Below are 21,513 nucleotides of genomic sequence, written 5' to 3'. Positions count from 1 at the left end.
CCAAAAGAAAAGACAGCTCCATTTCTCAGCTTCTTCAGATCCTGCACAGACTTGGAGGCTGAGCCTGAGTGAGACAAGAGACTCCCTTGTGACCTTTTCCTCAAGTTTTTTCTTCCAGTCAGTCACCTTGTCCAGGAGGCCCAGGTGATCTTCTCAATGACCACGGCTTCAGTTACCTGCTTCCCCAGGGGGACCTCATGCACCTGGCGCTTATAGGCACCTGTTGACACCTGTAGGTAGAAGGGAAGCCATGTTCATCAACGTTCTTTCTCAGTCCCACAGACTCCCTTTGGGCACAGTTTCCCAGAACACTGCCCAGCCTCTGCATCCCTAGGGCTTTTCTCCAAACCCAAGCTCAGCTCCAGGCTGCAAAGCCTATGGCCAGCCCATGACAACAACAGCAGGCCATTTTCCCATCTTTCTTCTCATCCATTTTCTCGCTATTTTCCAGAGTCCTAAGATAGCGGTTCTCTGAGTGTGGTTCCCGACCAGCAACGTCAGCTGCATCTAGAAATGTGTTAGAAATGCAAATTTTTGGGCCCCACCCCAAACCTACCCAGACAGACACCGAAAGGGTGGGGCCCAGCAGTCTCTGCTGTAACAAAGCCGCCAGGTGTTTCTGATACACAGGAATCCCAGTTCACAGGAAACCAAGAACCTTTGGTACAGAGGTAAGGCAGGTTTCTCATGGACAGTGGGTGACACAGATGATCTCTGAGGTGTCTAGAACCTGAACCTCGGTGCTCTGGGAGTCTTCTAAAGGAAACAGACCATTTTTCCTACCATCAAGACATTTGCAGTGAATGGCTGCTGCCCTTCCTGTTCAGCTTCCTCTCTCCCTGCAGTGCTTCTCCTGGAATGAGCTGGGAAGCTGAGCTCTTTCCTGCCTCAGGGCTTTCATGCAGATGGCCTGGAACAATGTTCCCACCTCTCTGTTGGCTAACACCTACACACCCTGCAGACCTCAGCTTAAATATCACTTGCTGAGAGGAAGTGCATCTAAATTCAGCACCTTGTTACATGCTCCCCGGAATGCTGTACTTTTCCTTCTTGGCACATAATCACAATTTGTAATTATATTTATATTTTGTGATTGTCTGTTTAGTGCTTGTCTTCTCTGTTATAGAGCAAGCTCCAGGAAGCAGGGACTGAAACTGCCTTTGCAAAATTATGATTGAGACAGTGAAAGAGATCTAACTTAACTGGCTCCATCTTGTTTCTAACCTCCATGCTGTCCTTGTTCATTCCTGGATGTAGGCTGAACTAACTTTGGGAGAAAGTTTATAGTTTATGGTTTAAACAAAGATGGTAGCAGCCCTTTCCCAAAGCAGACCTCCTTCTTGCCTGGGGACCAGATTGCCTTTGTAGGATTAACATTAGCCAAAAGATTAGAAATTATGGTTTAGGAGTCATGTAGCTGGAGGCTACAAGATTCTGACCCTCAAACTGCTCCTAAATTCAGCGCTTGAGATATTTTGCAGACCGTGCACTTGATGGATCAGCTGGCCCCACCCAGATCAATACACTGGCTCATCTGATCTTGTGGCCCCCACCCAGGAAGTGACTTAGTGCAGGAAGACAGCTTCAACTCCCTATGATTTCATCTCTGACCAATTAGCACTCCTGGTTCACTGGCTTCCCCCCACCCACCAAATTATCCTTAACAACTCTGCTTCCGGAATGCTCAGGGAGACCAATTTGAGTAATAATAAAACTCCGGTCTCCCGCACAGCCAGCTCTGCGTGAATTACTCTTTCTCTATTGCAATTCCCCTGTCTTGAGAAATGGGCTCTGTCTAGGCAGCCGGCAAGGTGAACCCCTTGGGTGGTTACGGGACCAGTCTCATTTTGTCCATCTAAAAGTCTAGCATAGTGCCCGGTTCAGCAAATAGTTGAATGAATAAATACATCCTCTCTCCTTTTACAGTGAATATCCAGCTCCAGGCCAGCTCACAAACGCAGATTTCTTGAGTGCTAGAGAAATCATTCTGTTTTTAGGGATCAGTCCCAGCAGTGGAACCCTCTCCCTCCCTTCCACCGGTCAGTTCCCCTGGGACCCAGGGATGAGCTTTCACTCCAGGCCCACTGGCTGGAGTCCAGGGCCCACGTATGGAGGGGCCATTCTACCCAGTAGAGTTGGGAAAGACATGAATAAATACCAGAAGCGGCACAAGGCTTAGGTGTAGCCCCAGAAAACTAGAAATCAGGAAACTCTGAAGAGGAGGTGGTGAGGGGCAGATTAAAGATGATTAGGGCTTGTGTTTCCTGTTTTTCTTACTCTTTATTATTTTAAATTCTATTTCCTCCACGTTCTTAAATTCTCTAAGCCTCTGTTTCTACATTTATAAAATATGGAAAAAGTAACTACTTAAGGAGTTCTGGTGAAGAGTGAGTTAGCACATTGCCTGGTACACAGTAAGGACTCGATTAATATAGGCCATTGTTATTACTGCTGTTATTATTGGTTGCCCCAGATATAAGTAAACCCCAAGCATACCTGAATGTATTTGCCATCCGCAGAAAAATCCATCTGAATGACAAAGCTTGGGATATCTTTGCAGTAGCCAATGCGGTTCAGATTTGTGCCCTGAGTGAGGTCATAGAAGTCAACTGTGTGTTCAGAAGAACCAACGGCTAAGAATCGGTTGTCTGGGCTGATTCTAGAAAAAGCAATCCGAGAGCAGAGTCCATGAGGAGGGCTGTTTGGGGCTGGTCAGGCACGAAGGCTGGTCTGTGACAGGCCTTCCAGGCCTAAAGGCAATGAGAGCCACCTTGTGACTCACATGTGGTCAGCCTCTCCTGGCATTCTACGGAATTCAACAATTTATCTGGATCGAATCCCCGGGAAATATGTAGAATGACATTTACAAGTAATTTTAACCACACTTTTATGGAAATTAGCAAAGACTTGTCTAAGAGTGAGAGTGGGAGAAGGTATTCTTTCATAGGTGGCTTGTTGAAAGTGACCCTCTCACAACTGAGTTCTTTATTCCAGCCGTGGCTGGAATGGGAACCACTGGTAAGCAGAATGCTTGCCTTTCTCCTCCATGCCCAGACCACCCACTTAGGTACCTGATATCTTGGATAGCAGATTTCCGGTCTCGTTTTTTCCCCCAAACTTTCAGGCTGTTCACCAACAAGATGACAAACTCTCCATTCTTCATGCCAATGGCCACCATCTCCCCATCAGGGCTGTAGGCTGCACACCTGGCCGCATGGCCCAAGCTCACCTTGTTTAACAGCTTCTACATTGATGCAAAGGAAAGTCACCTGAGCTCTTGGCCCCCTCAGCTGGTCTCCAGGAGACATTCTGCACCAGGCCAGAGAAGTCAGGCTGCCCTCGCAGCCACTGCAGGCCACCAAATCTCTTGCTTCTTAGAGTAAATGTCCCTGAATAACTGAGCAGAGCTGTATGTCTTGATTAGAGCAGCTTGGGGGACAACAAGTTTTAGGGCACAGGCTGCCCAGCTTTTTCTGTAAATGATTAGGTAGCACCCACTTTAGACTCTGTGGGCCATAGTCTCTGTCGCAACTACTCACCTTTGCCACTGTAGCACAAGACAGCCTCAGTACCTGAATAAATGAGGGCAGCTGGACTTGTAGAAACAGGCCACAGGCCCGATCTGGCCTTTAACTGTAGATTGCCAACCTCTTCTTTAGGGGAAAGAGTGTGAGCTTCTGCCTCTGCTAGTTCAAATTCTGAATCCTGGCCCTGTCACTTACTAGCTGGGTGTGTTTGGGTAAATTACATCTCAGTTTTTAGAGTTTTACTAATAGCGATGTTAATAAGGGTTTTGCAAGGTTATTGTAGGCACTGATCATGTCCATGAAGCAGCTGGTGTTATGTAGTTAGTCAAGTAGTGACAGCTGTTGCTAATAATGTTTAATAAATAATTACAGAAACTAACTTAAAAGTCTAGCAACCATACTCAAGCTTTTACCTGACTATTCTGTGACTCTGACACTAAAAATACAACAAACACTTACCAGCCATTTTAAAATGAAACCAAGTATTTTAATTAGTTGAACTTGAGTACTTGTTTTAACACTGGATAAGGCCATGAGGATCGGCAAGAACTCTTTGTTCCCTCCCACCCACCCCGCTCCGCCCAGCCACTCCTTGCTATTTCACAGTTTTACTCCAGATGAACTTTAACATTGCCTTCCCAAGCTCTAAGAGAAACCTTGTTGGGATTTTGACAGAAATACATTAGGCCCATTTCAGAACATTTCACATTTTAAATCATTTTTAGTCTTCTCATCCAGGGAAAACATGATTTGTCTCTATATTTTTAGTTTTGTGGGTTCTTTCATGACAACAGAATAATCCTTCTCAATTATATTGTTTAGACGGGGTGTGGTGAGTGGGGCTTCTTTTATCGTTAGGTTTTCTAACTCGATCTCCTACCTGGCCCCATCCCCGTCTCTGCCATGACGCTGGCTGGGCCTCTCCTCGCTCAGCTCCCACTGCCGCGCAGCCCACTCGTGGGCATCTGAGTTTGGGCAGAGTCGGCCTCACCTTGTCAGCCAGGTCCCAGATCCGGGCTGTGCCATCGTTGCTGGCAGAGATGAAGAGGTCCTTGGAAGGGTGAGTGGCCAGGCCCCAGATCTCCCCTTCCATGTGACCATCAATCAGGATGTTAGAAGCAGCATTTTTTTCACCAACTTCAATTATTTCTCCGTCTTTGGTTCCCACTAAGATTTTTCCCTGTTGTAATTGAAACACTATTAGAAAAAGGACAAATACTGTATGACTGCACTCATATGAGGTATCTAGAGTAGACAAATTCATGGAGACAGAAAGTAGAATGATGACTGCCGGTGAATGGGGGTGGTGGACAGGGGAGTCAGTGTTCAGTGGGTACAGTTACAGTTTTGCAAGAAAAGTTCTGTGGATGGTGGTGATGGCTGCACAACATGTGAATGCACCTAATGCCACTGAATTGTATATTTACAAATGGTCAAAATGGTCAATTTTATGTCTATTTGGCCACAGTTAAAAAAATTTAAAACACCACTATTATTAGAAAAACTTGGGGATTGCTTGAGCCCAGGAATTTGAGGTTGCAGTGAGCTATGATGATGGTACCACTGCACTCCAGCCTGGGTGACACAGTGAGACCCTGTCTTTAAAAAAAAAAAAAAAACAAGTAACTTGAGAAAATGCCTTTGCAGTGTTAATATTAAAATAAGAAGGGGTGAGAAGTGTTGTTTTTGTTTGTTTTTTGAGGCAGGGTCTCACTCTGTCACCCAGGCTGGAGTGCAGTGGTGACATCTTGGCTCACTGCAACCTCTGCCTCCTGGGTTCAAGCGATTCTCCTGCCTCAGCCTCCCCAGTAGCTAGGACTACAGGTGCCCGCCACCACATCTGGCTAATTTTTGTATTTTTAGTAGAGATGGGGTTTTACCATATTGGCCAGGTGGTCTCGAACTCCTGACCTCAAGTGATGTGCCTGCCTCTTGGCCTCCCAGAGTGCTGGGATTACAGGTGTGAGCCACCATGCCTGGCCAGTGTTTTGTTTTTAACAACAAACTGTCCATTCTTAATTGCTCTTCTCCACCCTCTTACTTTGCCCTTTCTCCATCAGCTACCTCAGGTGAGAGCTTCAGCACAGACTCCTCCATCACCCAGCCTCTGCCAGAATATTCCAGTGACTGCAGAGCAAAGCAGCCAATTCTCCTGTTCTTGGACAGCTCAAGCTCTTAGTAAGTTCTTCCTTCCACTGAACAAAAATCTGCTTCCTGGCCAGGTGTGATGGCTCACGCCTGTAATCCCAGCACTTTGGGAGGCCGTGGTGGGTGGATCACCTGAGGTCAGGAGTTTTGAGAACAGCCTGGCCAACATGGGAAAACCCCATCTCTACTAAAAATACAAAAAATTAGCTGGGCATGGTGGTGGGCACCTGTAATCCCAGCTACTTGGGAGGCTGAGGCAGGAGAATCGCTCGAACCCAAGAGGTATAGGTTGCAGTGAGTTGAGATCATGCCACAGTACTCCCCCTGGGCAACAGAGCAAGACTCCGTCTCAAAAAAAAAAAAAAAAAAACTACTTCCTGATAACTTCCAGGCTCCAGGCATAGTCCTGCCTTCATCTCCCATAACTACCCTTCCAGGTGGGCATCACTTAGCTATTTAAGAACAAAATCCCCAGTTTTGAATCATGTGGTACTCCATATCCAGTTTGCCTTTTTCATGGACAGCATCTAGAAAGCAAATTCTTAGACTGATATTTAAAAACAAACACAAGGTATTCAATAGAAGTTTGGAGATTGGCTTTTAAGTGCATCAAATCTCCTGGGGGAATTTAAATAGAAGGAAATAGAAGGAAACATACAGGTCCAGGTCCCACTCCTGAGATTCTGATTCACCAGCTCCAGGTGGGTGCCCGGACATCCATATTCTTTAAAACCCGACAGTTGTTTTTGATACGCTACCCAAATATGAGTTGGAAACCAATGGCTTTGAGTCAGACAGTTTGGTGGCCCTTACCCTCCTCCTTACTGGCCCTATAGCTTAGGGCATGGGCAAACTATTTAGTATCTCTGAGCTTATGAGGATATCATCTATAATACTAGTAGCTAACATCTCCTGAATGGGACTATATGCCAGGTAAGATGAAAGGCACTGTCATGTATAAATATGTGACCCTCACAAAAACCTCATGACAAACCTGTGTGCTGGACACAAAAACATTAAGGAACACACCCAAGGTCACCCAGCTGGTTCTTCCTGGGGGAGTCTGACTCTCTTAAGCTGCTTCCCACTACAGCACAATTCATGTATTGAGGCCTTGTTTCAAGGAGTAAACAAACCAGCCCAGAGAAAGTGCCGGCTGGGAGGGTACCTACACTTCCCCCTTCCCTGGCCCAGCCCCCAGGGGAGCTGGCTGTGCTCACTTTTCCACGGCACACGGAGCGCACACACTCCACCAGCTGCCCGGTCTCCAGCTGAAAGGCCCGGCAGCGCTTCATCTCCTGGTCCCACAATTTTACAGCACCTCCTTCTTTGGTCCTAAAAAAGATTGAAAGGGACTCAGGCTGTTAACCCTCATCCTAAGACCCACTACCCCCTCCGGCCCTCTCCCCTCTTTCCCAGTCATCAGGGTTCTGGCCAGTTGGGGCCCAGAAGGAAAGACCCTCCAGGGTCCAGACCCTCCAGGCAGCCTCTCTCTTAGGCCCTGGTGCTAAGCAATCCCAACCTCCTGAGCTTGCAGATTTCCTAAAATGCCTTCAAATGCTACTATCTTGGGAGGAAAGAAAACGTAATTTGGAAATTCAGACTTTTTATTAGATTAGAACACAGAAATGTTTCTCCTGTCTTCAGGCTTTGCTTCTGCATCTCCCCTCTTCTCCTCCTTCCTCCATTCCTCCACAGAGCTACTAAGAATAACGTTTTATCAACAGCAAAGTCACTGTGGTTTGTTCAAGAATACCTCTCAAGATTTTCTTTTAATTTATTAATTTATTTTGAGATGGAGTTTCACTCTTGTCGCCCAGGCTGGAGTGCAATGACATGATCTCGGCTCACTGCAACCTCCGCTTCCTGGGTTCCAGCCATTCTCCTGCCTCAGCCTCCCTAGTAGTTGGTATTACAGGCGCCCACCACCATGCCCGGCCAAATTTTGTATTTTCAGTAGAGTCAGGGTTTCACCATGTTGACCAGGCTGGTTTTGAACTCCTGACCTCAGGTGATCTGCCCACCTTGGCCTCCCAAAGTGCTGAGATTACAGGCGTGAACCACCATGCCTCTCTCAGGTTTTTAAACTATCATCAAACCACCTCTGCACTCCTCTCTTCCTTGTGAGGATCTTGACTTAGGGCCCTCTTGGAGAGAGAGCAGACTGATCTTCCTAATGCAAAAAAGATAGGAGGATGACAGTCTGCATTTTCTCCAAGTTGGGAACACTTTTGTCAGTTTCTCCCAAGATAACAACAAACGACAAGTTGTTTCCATAGGAGCTTTGGCTTACGGCCTCTCTTTTCCGCCGGTCACTATGAGTCCATCCCGAAGGGTTGTGTACATTGTGAACACGGGGCCTGTGTGAGCCTTGGCCACCAGCCGGATGAGGAAGTGGTCCTTCCAGACGTAGACATCTCCATTGATGGCACCCGTGAAAGTGAGATTGTTCTGTAAACAAAACAACATCTTCTACACCCGGAACACACTCAAGCGGGTCCCTCCCCAGCCACCCGTTCTCTCATTAAGGAACCAGAGCTAGAGATGCAGACAGCCTAGGCAGTTTGATCTCTTTGTGCTAAGGAAAGCAGCAGAATTTGCAAAGAAATCACCGAGAGCACATCACAAGGCAGTCACCTGGCTTGGAAATTCACTATATTTAACTGGCTTGGGCATCTGACTTCCCCTCTGAGCACAGCTGTGCATTAGCAAGGACTTCCCTTCTGTAAGCATGGCCCAAGTGACAGCAGGGATGGGGCAGACTCCAGGCCAAAGGACACTTTCCTAGGGCTCCTCTACAAGAGGGAGAAACCCACTCCTGGAGGACCACGAAGTTGGAGCTTGCATTGGCTGAGGGCACCCCATAGCCCACTTAAGGGTGGTAATTGGGGGCATCTGTGGCACAAGAGGGCTGGTAAGAAAAAGGATCATTATCTACAGTGGAAATTGTTCCCAATATCCTCTGGGGCTTGCAACTCAGGGTTGCCTTTAGAACAACAAACCTCCTGTCCTGGGTGGGTGTCCTACCTTTTCTGGTTAATATTTTAAGAAAAAAAAAATATTGGCCAGGCGAGGTGGCTCACACCTGTAATCCTAGTACTTTGGGAGGCTGAGGCAGGCGGATCACCTGAGGTCAGGAGTTCAAGACCAGCCTGGTCAACATGGTGAAACCCTGTTTCTACTAAAAATACAAAAATTAGCCAGGCGTGGTGGCAGGTGCCTATAGTCCCAGCTACTTGGGAGGCTGAGGCAGGAGAATCGCTTGAGCCTGGGAGGTGGAGGTTGCAGTGAGCCGAGATTGCGCCACTGCACTCCAGCCTAGGTGACAGAGCAAGACTCTGTCTCAGAAAAATAATATATATATGTATGTTGCCAACCCACCCATATGTGCTACAGAAAAGGAACAGTGGTTGCAGATAAGCCAGTACAGGAGCGAATGTGGAAATGGCTTTCCTGCTGTTTTCAGCCTCTTGGCCAAACTCCCCTCCTGCCCATGCCCATGCCCATGCCCAGGGGGTCTGGGTCCCCTTCTCAGGGAGTATCTGCTAGAACTCACAGCACCGAAGGCCACGGAGAGCATCGTCTGCATTTTGGCAGCTCCCAGGGACCCGATGACCCCTTTCTTGTAAAGCAAGGCGCTGCCTGCCAGGGTCCAGAACTTCATATGTTTGACCCCGACAGATACAAACTGCGTGTCTGAGTCGGGGCGAAATTCCACCACAAATATGCGCTCCAGGTGACCCCCTCGGCTGGCAACCTTGGCACCTGTGTGGGTGACAGAGTCCAGTGAGGCTCCTCATTGCTTCATGGGCCAGGCCGGGGGAGCCGCAGCCCAGGAGGTCTCCACCCCAGCAGGCGTAAGCCATGCCTCAGTTCTTCTTTACAGCACTCTCTCCCCTTCAGACACTATTCCCCAGGTGGCAGCGGGGAAAGTGTGTCTGGCAAGTTTCCAGAGCAGCAGGTGCTGGTAACAGATCCCCCAACCCAGGCATTCATGAACGTAGCAAGAAAGGATGGCCTGTGAGATGGAAGCTTCCAGATATGAGAAGGCAGCAAAGTGGCTTAAAGATATCCCCCATCCCCCTTCCATCAAGTCCCCAGCATCACCACAGGAGTCGTCCCCCCACAGGATGACAGAGCCGCTCCCAGAGGGCCACTGGGACTCACATTCCTCTAGAGAGCTTTTTTTTTTTTTTTTTTCCTAAGATTCTCCTGCATTTTCTTTAAGTTCCCCGTTTTCCTTTTTAGTTTGTGGTGTTTAGGTTTAAATTTTTTTACCTTTTAAGTACTATTTTTCCTTAACCCCATTTATTTATGTCTCCTGAGTTTTATTTAACCTTTGTCTTAATAAAATTCCAACTCTACCATTTACTTGTAGAACAACTTTAGACAAATTATTTAAGCTCTCTGTGCTTTAGTTTCCTTACCTGTAAGATGGGGCTAATAATTGTTCCTATTTCAGAAGGTGCAGTGCAGATAAAAAGAATTGAAGTAAGTGAAGCCCTGAGCACAGTGCTTGATACTCTGAGTGATCATGTGTTAGCCAGTATTAGTAGTAGTAGTAATAGTATTATCATCACTCCTTTAGCTACTTTTAAAATTTCTTGGCTTCTATTCTTTTAGCCTGTATTTTAAACTCACCTCTTTTTTAATCTCATTATTTTTAAGCTCTCGAGTTTTAAATTTTTGTTTTAAACCTGTTACCCTTTAACTTACTCTGAATGTTTTTGTTCCGATTTCTTGTCACCCCTCCCTTGATTATTCACACACCTATTTTTTTCTTCTTCGTTCTCATCACTTCGCATTTGTTTTTATGACAGCTTTCTAGTACCATGATGGTGGTGGGTTTTGATGTAGCTGGGCCTGTGGCCACCCCTCTGATACTCCCTAACAGAATCTCTTTCCAGGCGAGGCTAGGGGGACCCACAGAGAACTTCTCCCAGCTGTAATTCTCTCTGCATATGGAATCTCTGACTTACTGTAGCAGATCTCTCTCTACTTAGGGCTCAGAGGTTTTAAGACCCACAGTCTCCAAGGATACCATAAACAAAGTAACACAACATACGGGAAGAAAGCACTTGCAATGCTTATAAGATTCAGAGGATTAACATTAGAGATCTATAAGGAACTACAAATTATAAGTAAAAGACAACCCTCCCACTCCAAGTAGTAAAAGGATTTGAACAGGTAGATTACAAAAGCAGCCAATACAAGTGGCCAATGAGATGGAAAGAGATTCCAGCTCACCAGTCATGGGAGAAGTGCAAACAAAGGAAAGAGATTCCAGCTCACCAGTCATGGGAGAAGTGCAAACAAACAATGAGTTGCACATTTTTTCAAAGCCACTGTTTATATTTTCCTTGTTTTAATTTCATGGACGCTTCTAATTGTGGAGACACCTGTATCCCTCTCTGCATTGGCTTCTAGTCTGCTCAGAGCAAATTACACATATACCTAGGACCTGACGACATGGATTTTATGTAATAAGCTCATTTTTAGGTCTATTTTATTTTTACCTACACACACACACACACACGTTCCCCAAAACAATCCTCTAATAAATGAAGAATGAATAATAGGCTCTCTAGTGATACATAAAATGTATGTAAACCTCCCCAAACACATGCTATTTATCTGTAAGTAAGACTTGAAATGAAGGCAAACCCACACTGGAGAAGGAAGGGAGGAGAAATGACATGTCCGTGGTCAACCCGGAAGAGGTGGTGGCTAGCGATAGGTCACATATCAGCACTGGCTCACAACCCTCTGTACAAACAAGAGCAGGCTCCTCTTTTCCTCGGGAGCTTGTTTAAAAGCCCTGGCTCCTCTAACCTTCCCCTGGGAGGTCAGAAGGGACCCTGGGTGAGCAAGAGTCTGTGCTAGGGCAGGCCAAAGCAGGCACTGCTTGGAGGACAGGTAGAGGGAGTGAAGACAGTGAGCCTGAACCTAAAAAGACAAGGCCGTGCAGTGGGGCCAGTGTGAGAGCTTTCTTCCAAGGATCTAGGAACAGTTAGCAGCACAGAAGAAACATATAATGAAGCAATTTCTGTCCCCACATAAGAAGGGGCTTTACGCAAGAGCTTTCTGACAGCGTGTGGGCTGCCTTGTGAAGTGAGGAGAGCCACATCCTTGAAAGTATTCAAGGGGTCCTTGAAAGCCACACCCCTTGAAAGGACAAAGGGGTGCATTTGAAGGAATTTCTCCTTAGGATGGGTCCTAACTGCAGGAAGTCTTCTCTAGTTCTTCCCACTCCAAGATGCTCTCTGTCTATCATTTAAGATGCTCAATTTCTCTGGGCTGAGTCTGGTCAATCAGTTGGCCACTTGACATCACAAGGAATGAATCTGCACCCCTGGGATACTGACTGTGCAGCCATCTGGGTGAGATATACTGGTGAACCAGAGAATGAGAACATGTGGTTTCCTAGAAACATTATAGATCATGTCACCTTCTGAAGGAATATGGTATCATTACAAATGTCTGCAAGCTGTCAGGCTCTTTTCCTCATATGGGGGTGCTCAGGAGTGACTGGAACTTTCCCCCAGTGTGCTGATCTCTTTACAACCTCCACGCACCACCCCCTCCATGGGAAGATGCAGAGATAATGGGACTCCAGAGCCCTGGATGGGAGAAGTGACACCTCTGCGCTTGCCTGGTAGAGCGTGTCCCAGATACAGGCTGCCTAGCTGCAGACAGACCTCATTAATGTTCTGACTAATTGGATCTGCTCTTGCCAGGGCAGTACCCAACCTGAGAATATATGAGGAGGACTGCACATCTTTAGTTCTAAGATGACCACACATTCAGTTGCAGCTTGTGTGTGTGCATGTGTGTGAGGTGTGTGTGCATGTATTGGGGGAGGACTAGAAAGAAATCCTGTTACAGTAAATGTAAACCTGGATTGTAAGATAAATCCCTATTTCAAAAGTGTTAAAATGTTAAAAAAAAAATTTAAATGTTTCTGAGACTATGATAAAACATGATCCCATTTCCTAAAATAAAGCAGACAAAGTGATAGGGCTGTAGTAGGATCCAGGGGCCATCAGAAAGAGCACGGAAGACAAGGACCCTTGGGTAGGAAGGTGGCTAAGACAGATGTCGGGGAGGCTGCTGCCTTCCGAGGAGGAGGGCTGCCAACATCGGGGAACCTCCTCAGAGCCCCTTCACTAATGGGCCCTGGAGTCCCTGGCCAGCCTCCTCCTGGCCCTGGGACCCTGGGATGCACTGGCATCAGTGGGGCAGCTATACCAGGATCCCCAGTGCCCTGTTTTCCACTTGCCCAGCAGCAGTCAGTGCCTACGGCAGGCTTCGGAGTGAGGCAGATCTGGGTTCGAGCCCACAGGCTCGACACCCACAGGCAGACACCCTGGAGGGACAGAAAGCCCAGTGCTGGTTTACCTTCCTGCCATCGCCAGACAGTGATGGTGTGCTCAGGGTCCACTCCCACCGACACCAGGAGCTTTCCAGTTGCACTGAAGTTGATGTAATTCACCCCCTTGGAGTGGAAGCACCGCAGCATGGAGAGGGTGTGTTTGGTCATGGCGTCCCATATGTGGATGGAAGGTGTTGTCCCTGAGTGTGGAGAGGCATGACAAAGAAGTAAGGCTGACAAATGGCAGAGCCAAGGCGATGCTTATGTTCATGTAAAAGCCTTTTTTTTTTTTTTTTTAGACAGAGTCTTGCTCTGTTGCCCAGGCCAGAGTGCAGTGGCACCAGCTCAGCTCACCGCAACCTCCACGTCCTGGGTTCACACGATCCTCGTGCCTCAGCCTCCCGAGTAGCTGGGATTACAGGCACGCACCACCACACCCAGCTAATTTTTGTATTTTCAGCAGAGACAGCATTTCACCATGTTGGCCAGGCTGGTCTCAAACTCCTGACCTCAGGTGATCCGCCCGCCTCCCAAAGTGCTGGGATTACAAATGTGAGCCACTGCCGCCCGGCCTGCAAAAGCCTTTTTTAAGACAAATGTTTAGGGCTGTTACAGTCATTGGGCATAAGAGACCTATAGCCTGACCTGGCCAGAGGAGAAAGACTAGAGGAAATTTGCTTTTAAAGGCAGAGCCCTACGGACATTTATGTTCAACACACACACACTTGCAGAGGATTTTATACGAAGGAAACTGGTGAGGTCAATGATTTGTATCTGCAATTCGGCAAGATACAATCAGCAAACATGATAGAATGACATGATTTTGCTCTGCAGATTCAAACTACTCACGGATGGAACAGCCTTACCTGGGGTTTCCGTAATATCACCTGCATTGGGTGAGCAATGGCAATGAGGAAGCGTCAAGGGAAAACAATAGCTAAAATAAGTCACGTTTCCAACAGTGAAGCACTCAACACCAGCATCAGAAAGTTCCAAATTAAACTTAAAAATGGACATGATTCAATGAAAACAAGCAGGAAGTTGTAAAAATTGCTCGAGATGACTAAGTGAAAACAAACTTCTCATAAATGTGAATCAGTTCACATTTGTCACCGGCAGTTTCCCAGGGCACAGGGGGTCCAGGCACACTTACTGAAACCTACCCTGGCCAAGCACAATAACCAGCTTCAAAAGACACGGAGTTCTTGACACTTGGGGTCTGAAAAACTATTCTTACAAGTCCACAGGGATGGGGGCCAACGTTTATTTGGACTCTCAGGCGCTGGTCAGACTTTATGGTCCCTCAGAATCACAGTCACTGGATGTGTCAACGCAGGTGACACAGATACACTCAGGACTCAAAAAATCAACAGCAACATCAACAAGAAGGGATGGATGTAAGCAACCCACCCACTCCCTCTCCCAATAATTGCTGACAGGTCAGCGTCCCTGCAAGCTGGGAGAGCCTCAGCTGCCACAGGACCTCCTACCTATCTGGCTGGTGGCCACCACGTTTCTGTACTTGGGGTGCTGGTTCACTGTGAGACAGAGGATGTCATCTGTGTGCTCCAGATAGAAGCTCTGGCTCCCTGGGGGAGAGAGATCATGGGAGGGTGAACAGTGGAACCTAAAGACCTTTTAGGGCAACTTCAAAACATCGCGTGGAGCCATTGGATACTTCTTATAAAAGTGAGAGCTTACAGCCCTCAAATTCTCACTTCCAGAATCACACTTGGGGAGATGAAGGGTCGTTTTTTTGGAATGTTCATATTCTGTTTTGGGTCTGGGAGAAGGGGAGCTACTGTCTGTTATCTGATACACTCAAGCTGCTCTTCGATACTTCCCACAACTCTGTGTGGGTCCAGAGCACAGTTCAAGTACAGGGGTTTCCAGAGTCCACAATGATGAAGGTCAAAGTCTCCTCCACTCCATGGCACAGGACTGGTGCTTCTCAGTGTCCACATCTGGGCAGAAGTAGGGGTGGAGGCCTGGAGATGATGCTTTACTGAGCAAAATGGTACCACTTCTTCATGTGGAATATGAAATTCTCAGGGACTAATCACCTTTGCTCACCAAATGCCAATCCACTTGGGGGCCTGGACAGCACAGGTGATGGCTTTACCCTGGAAAGCCCTAACTCGACATATGTCACAGGAAGTGGAAGAAAGAGCACTTTACCATCTATCAAAGCAAATGGGTTTGCTGACTTCCATAATAGCCACTTTAAACCCACCCAAATGCTCAAGAACCTAAAGATGAATGATGGTGTAGATACACAAGGAAGGTGTGTACTGCTACCAATATGATGGCAAGGCTAGAAAGTGAAGAAAATATATAGACAATGTCAAGGTCCTCCTCCCCCTCAGATACACACAAATCAACATGTGCCCAGTGATTTCACTGTTTAAATCTATGTATGAACAACTACACAGAATTGACAAAGAACAAAAATTTAAAATGAAAGGTGTTTTTTTTTTTTTCTTGAGGCATGAGCAAATAAGGCAAAATGTGAACCTGTTTAAATCTGGTGGTAATGATATAGTTTTCTGTTAATTTCTGAATGGTTCTTTTTGTTTGAAATGTTCATTTTTAAAATTTGAGTCACCATGTGGTTTGAGTATTTTTTTTTTTCTTTTTGAAATAAGAGTCTCCCTCTGTTGCTCAGGCTGGAGTGCAATGGCGCGATCTTGGCTCACTGCAACCTCCACCTCCCAGGTTCAAGCAACCTCAAACTGGGTTCTCCTGCCTCAGCTTCCTGAGTAGCTGGGACTACAGGCACCTGCCACCATGCCTGGCTAATTTTTGTATTTTTAGTAGAGATGGGGTTTCTCTATGTTGACCGGGCTGGTCTCGAACTCCTGACCTCAGGTGATCCGCCCACCTCAGCCTCTCAAAGTGCTGGGATTACAGGCATGAGCCACCTTGCCGGGCCTGGTATTTTTGTTTATTGTTTAATTGTTTTCATTCTCATTATAAATGTGGCTAAACTGTCAAAATACAACTTGAAAAATCTGAGCTGTTAAAAAATAGCTCATTGTAAAAATGAATAGGCAAAGTTCTGTGATTTCTTCATGGTTATGGTCTCCAAGGAATTTCTCCACTCCTTACACCCTGTCTCTTGCTTTTCTCCATGGCTGTCGGTTACAGAGGCTGGTGTCAACATGGCCGCCTTCTCTCTAGGGCCTATGATGAGGTGAGGTCAAGCTCAGGTCAGAAAGAGAGAAGGCTCTGACTCTGGTAACTGAACCTGAGCGTTACCAGGCCTAACTGAGACCATGCTGGAATTGGGGGGAATGGCTCTATAAGGGAAGGAAAATGCTTAAGCTTTTGGGCATCTAAAGAGTGGGGAAAGCATGTAAAAAACAGCTAAAAGAAAAACCTGTATTTTTTAACCCCCGGTTACCTGTGGAGAGGTTCTGAACGATGCCAGCCGCTGCTGTGTGGAAGATGATGTCAGCGCCATCATTAAGGTAATGCAGGTTATTTCGACAGTCGAAACCTCTGTAGCCAAACACGTGGTCTAGAGCCAGCTCCTGCATTCACACACACAGATCAATGTGACCCTCAGAGGAAGGAAGGGAGAGCCGAGGAACACACCCACATTGCGTGAGCAGCCTCGTGTGTCCCAGGAACGGTATGGCTGGTGACGCCAACACACACTCACTGAAAACATTTTGCTTCTTGACTGGCTGAGGAGAAAATGCAGCCCCTTCTTTAGTTTTCTGAAATGCTGGGGTGGCAGTCTAACACACAGAATCACCATGACTTTCCAAAAAACCCAGATTTACTTCCTGGCTCTGTCAGTGTGCCAAAGTCCAGAGATTTGATGCCCTGTAAAGGGTACCTAGCAGTTTTGTGTCTGTGCCTTGGCAGGCACTCTGGGTGAGCTGAATGGTGGCTCAGAGGTTTGCTCTAATAAACTCTCATCAATGTGACCAGGGTGGGTAGAGCAGAACATAGAGTCAAAGGCCATGCTCGTTCTGCTGCCTGGTGCTTGCTCTACAAAGTTGCTACATATTTGCCATTTTTTTCCCCCAAAAACTAGATACTGTTGAGGTTTATAGTCTTTCTCATCTTCCTGTCTTGTCTTCTAAGACAAAGAACAGTGGCTGATTCAGATCAGTTCTTAATCCAACACAGACCTCTCAGGCAGCTCCTCTGTGCCTATCACTGTGCAGGTGGAAGGATGGGGTGTGGGCAGGGAACTGCAGGAAGGTTTAGGGTGAGAAGCATCAGGAAAGACTCTACAGAAAAGATACTGGAGAAGGTCTTGGAAAGACCAGGGTACTGGGAGCTGGCAGGAGGAGCCTTCTAAGCAGAAGGAATGACAACACAGGGGCTTGAAAGTCCCAGGCAGCTTCCGAGAACACTAGCGGTGGGTTTGGGGGGCCAGAGATTTGCACTGTGGTGAAAAATCATAGGCGGTAAGCTTAGAAGGTGGCTCTGGGTAAGGTTTTGAAACCATGAACTTGAATCCCATTGGCAATGTGGGACTCTCCCAGGTCTGAAGGCCAGCATGAGGCATGGAAGATGTATACTTTAAAAAACCAACTCTGGAGGCATTGGGGCATGTGTCAGAGAGAGAGGGTGGAGTCTGAAGTCAGGCAGAACAGTCAGGAGGCCTCTGACTTTATGAGAGCCTAGTCTCAACAATTGAGTTCAAATCCCTTTCCACTTACTGGCTTGGTGATCTTGGGCTTGGGACCTGATAACTCCCTCAACTCCCCTCAGCCACAGCGTCCTCGTCGGGAAAATGGAAACAGTAATGGTGCGTCCCTCCTGTGTGTGAAGATTGTATGAAACGCTTCGTGGCTATGGAGCAGGGCACCCGGCAAACAGTCGGGGCTCAGGCAACATTAGAGACGGTGAATATGTGCTCCCCTGTCTCTTTCCTTTCTTCTCCATGGAAGGGATGCTGAGGGTCTGAGTGGGACCAAGTGGAGGGAAACGGAGCCAGGCTTGAGGGACACAGGACATCTTAGATTTAGTACTGAAAGGACCTGGTGACAGGGCTGGGGGAAGCAGGAATACGATACAGTGGCTGCGACTCTGGTCCCTGGGATGGAAGACACAGTGCTACGTAGGAGGGAGAGGGGACAAAAGAGAGCCCAAGGGACCTACTCCGTTTCATTTGACTGTGTCTTTGGGACGTGCAGATGGGGATGTCTACCAGGTATGTCTTAGAACGTCAATATCAGACTACAAGTGATTGTTTAACTCACCTCAACCAGTTTCTTTTTTTTGGTGATATTGTTCTTCTGCAGTTTCTCAGGCTGGGGAGCTGCTCGGCTAACGGGTGGTCTGGAAGAGAGAGCGGCCAGAGGAAGCACAGCATTGAACAAGGGCTGCAAGGCTGCCTTCCCGGTGTGGCCTGTCTAGGCCAGTGCCGGCCTCCTCTCTCCTCCCGCCTCAAAGGCCCCTCCACTTGGATCTGTTCAGTCCTGCCCTCCTCTCTCACTCCCCGCCTGCCACGGGACCCAGCCTGAATTCACAGGCACTGGGTTGGGCCTCCCCACGCTTGAGGCACCGTGGTCAGGGTCAGCCCTCCTCCCTCTGCTTAACCTTCTCCTGGGAGCAGGGGGAGCAGGAAGAACATGTGGGCTTGAAACAAGAGGGGCTTGGTTCAAAACCAAGGAGAAGCCTGACCATGAGGGGCGGGAGGCCACATTTCCTGGACTTGCTGACCTTTTTCAGACAGGGATGTGCTCATGTTGTTCAGAATTAAGTTGTCGATGGCCATGGTGTGGCGTGAAGTGGCACTTACAAGCCAGGCTGCGGAAAGGGCCCTAAGGACCACAGGCCAAGTGCCTAGGTCGGCCTCACTTCTCAGACAGGCAGGCAGGAAGCAGAGGGACAGGAGACAGACAGCACTCCCGCCTCCCACTCCGCCCTCGCCTCAGGACTCGGGTCTGCATTCAGCTGCTACCACACCAAAGGTTGCTTTTCCCGCCTCCGTTTTGGGGTCTGGGGCCTCCAAATTTAATGAAGAGATTTTATAATGTGTAAGCCCTAATGGAATCCTAGAGGAGTACGCCAGTTCTTGGTGACGTGGGGTTTCCTTAAATCAGATTTCTCTATGGATGGGTCGAGAAAGAACTGTACCAGCTCCCACCGCATGTTCCAAAGTAATTAGTTATTGCTCCCGGGATATGCAAAGAGAAGGATTACCTTGATCCCCTTGAAAGCAGCAAACAAAGCCAAGTGAGAAACTTAGTACAGTTTAGAGCCGCATTAGCAACCACCTCATTCATGCACAAGCATTTTCCAAGTGAACAGACATTCCTGTGTGGCACACACCATGCTTCCCCAGCATGCCAGCAAAGAACTAAAACAGAAATGAAAGAGTGCACCAGTCTACAAATTCAGAAAGCTCATACCCTGGCGTCTCTGGGCAAACTCTGCACTAAAGCGCCTACAGAATAGGGAGAGAAAAGGAAGCTTTGTCAATGCTTCCCGCACACTCTCCGTGACTTTACGAATGCGCCCGGGGACTCTGCTTAGAGTGTGCTGGGGAGAAACTTGCTGTCAGAAAAACAATGACATCTTCCTGGATGTCGTGGGGAGTTATGTACAATGGATACTTTGTTTCCAAATCAAGTTCAACTCATAATTTAGCCTAATAATTCCCAGTGTTTCTTGGTAGGTCAGCCTGCCTGCTCGAATGGCTTGCGGGGGTTCTTTTTGTGTGCAGGGGAAGACAGGGTACCTTTATTTTCTCAGAAACTCTTCAATCAAAACACGTTATGTAATCATAAGTGATAATTGGACCAAACGGTATTATAATCACCACTGAAGAATGGGTAGACAGCACATCTCTGCAAAACGACACCCCCGGCTGACATCATCGCCACCAAATTGAGCAAAATCGGGAGACTGGGGGCATGCCAGTTCTCACAATTAGACACTTCCTTCACATTAATTATCGCTTCCCAGGACATCTGCTCTTTCTTCTGTTTTAGTGGGACTTTCAAATGAAATCCGTGGGTTTCTTCTTTCACCTAAGAACGTTTAAGTGTATGACAAAAGCAAGCCAGGGGCTATGAGGAGAGCAAGAGGACACTGGAACTATGGCATGGCTCATAAGGCATTATTTGAGGATAAACACAGGGCTCGATTTCAGGGGACACACAGGTTGTATAATATGTAATATATTATACAGTGAATATAGAGTATGCGTACAAGCACAAACACCGTGTATTTATATATACAGGAGATTGTATATATATACACAGACGCAATCCGATGCTTTTTTTTTTCACCTTGATTTTCAGAAAAAAACCGAAAGGTAAAGCAATCTCAATGTTTCTTTCTCATTTCGCAAGCATATGTTTACAGCTGTATTGCTTCAAAACTGAAGATGAGAGGAGCAAGGGGAAGAAACCTGCATTGTGGCAAATTCAGCGGATTTTAAGTATTGACCCTTCGCGGTTGTGGATTCTGCGTGAACACTTAGTACTGGATGTTCACCAAACACCTGTGTTTGTCTCCAGAGCGGTGTGAATACTTACTTGACAATTCCCTGCCTCCAAAGGAAAGCAAGTTAAAACACAATACAAGTATTAAAAGCTTCTTTCCAGGCATCTATAAACAGTGTTCATAACATCAGATGTGGGAGGGACTGCCAGAGACTTCACACGTAGCCAAACACTGGAGGTTTAACAGTTTTCCGTGGATCTAAATCCTTCTAGATTCAGATTCCATCAGAAATGGGACTCTGAAAAGCTTTGCTGAGGTGGGAAGGAGTGGAGGCATGAGGACATTCACTCACTTTCAGTCCAATCAGCTCATTAGAGTTGGTCATTCCCAGCTGGCACAGGACAGGAGTGCGAGGAAGGCTGTGGGCACAACCCGGCATTGGCAGGGAGACCCAGTGGGGCCAAGATCTGGGAAGGTGAGGGGGTGAGAGACTGGAGGTGGGAGGAGCAGAGACACAAAGGGGCCTGGTGGGGCAAGTAGGCTTTGAGGAGAATGGGCAGGGGGGCAGGGTCAGGGAACAAAGGAGAAAGAGCTTCCATTGGCAAGAAATTTAAGGAGGGAGCCTGGCAAGACAGCAAACAAACTGGATAATCAGGAGAGAGGGTGGCACACAGGCCGAAGCTCTGGAGAGCAGGAGAAGCCTGCCAAGAAGACAGAGTGAAGGCAGGAAGCCCAGGGAGAGGCTGTGAACTCCAGCCTGGGGCTTGGTGTTGAGTAACAAGTCGGCCCTGCTCTTCAGTGCCTGTGGGGAGAGTCACAACCCTGTACCCCCTGTGGAAACAGTTGGCACATTCTGTGGGCAGGGCAGGATCATGGGAAGGCCAATTCCTGCTGTCATCCCACTGCCCAGCGCTGGGCTGCTGAAGAGAAAGCTTAGACTCAACTAAAGATGTGGGGAGTCTTATCCTGACACGGGCTCTTGCCCTGCACAGACCCGCAAGGCAGGCCAATGCCTGGGTACTTGTCCCTCCTTTCCCCCTCCCCAAGGCA

At 47.5% G+C, this 21,513-nt stretch overlaps 1 protein-coding gene across 8 annotated transcripts in view, besides 1 other annotated feature; it reads right to left on the bottom strand.

The window, feature by feature from the left end:
• EML6 (EMAP like 6) overlaps positions 1-21,513 on the bottom strand; it is a 248,474-nt gene that overhangs the window by 4,796 nt on the left and 222,165 nt on the right. For 3 of the 8 annotated variants that reach the window (XM_017004098.3, XM_047444299.1, XM_017004101.2), the window contains 13 exons: positions 20,556-20,570; positions 19,216-19,224; positions 18,270-18,348; positions 16,451-16,580; positions 14,538-14,636; positions 13,074-13,247; positions 9,232-9,440; positions 7,969-8,126; positions 6,896-7,010; positions 4,519-4,707; positions 3,072-3,244; positions 2,497-2,659; positions 127-230 (listed from right to left, as the gene is read on the bottom strand). In XM_017004098.3, the coding sequence (XP_016859587.1) occupies positions 127-230; positions 2,497-2,659; positions 3,072-3,244; positions 4,519-4,707; positions 6,896-7,010; positions 7,969-8,126; positions 9,232-9,440; positions 13,074-13,247; positions 14,538-14,636; positions 16,451-16,580; positions 18,270-18,348; positions 19,216-19,224; positions 20,556-20,570 (1,617 nt within the window). Of the gene's footprint in view, positions 1-126; positions 508-2,496; positions 2,660-3,071; positions 3,245-4,518; positions 4,708-6,895; positions 7,011-7,968; positions 8,127-9,231; positions 9,441-13,073; positions 13,248-14,537; positions 14,637-16,450; positions 16,581-18,269; positions 18,349-19,215; positions 19,225-20,555; positions 20,571-21,513 lie in introns of those variants that run through there. The other 5 variants (NM_001039753.4, XM_047444302.1, XM_047444315.1 and 2 more) reach the window with 3 other exon arrangements.
• Positions 15,913-17,112: an enhancer, noted in NCBI's record as "BRD4-independent group 4 enhancer chr2:55177255-55178454 (GRCh37/hg19 assembly coordinates)". NCBI's record gives its function as "activates an origin of replication core promoter dependent on BRD2, P300/CBP, MED14 and CDK7 cofactors, and independent of BRD4, by STARR-seq in HCT116 cells {active_cell/tissue: HCT116}" and the evidence as "EXISTENCE:reporter gene assay evidence [ECO:0000049][PMID:35650434]".

The sequence above is a fragment of the Homo sapiens genome, chromosome 2 (assembly GCF_000001405.40).
Source record: "Homo sapiens chromosome 2, GRCh38.p14 Primary Assembly".
Lineage (NCBI taxonomy): Eukaryota > Metazoa > Chordata > Mammalia > Primates > Hominidae > Homo > Homo sapiens.
This window is presented reverse-complemented; position numbering and strand designations above follow the sequence as displayed.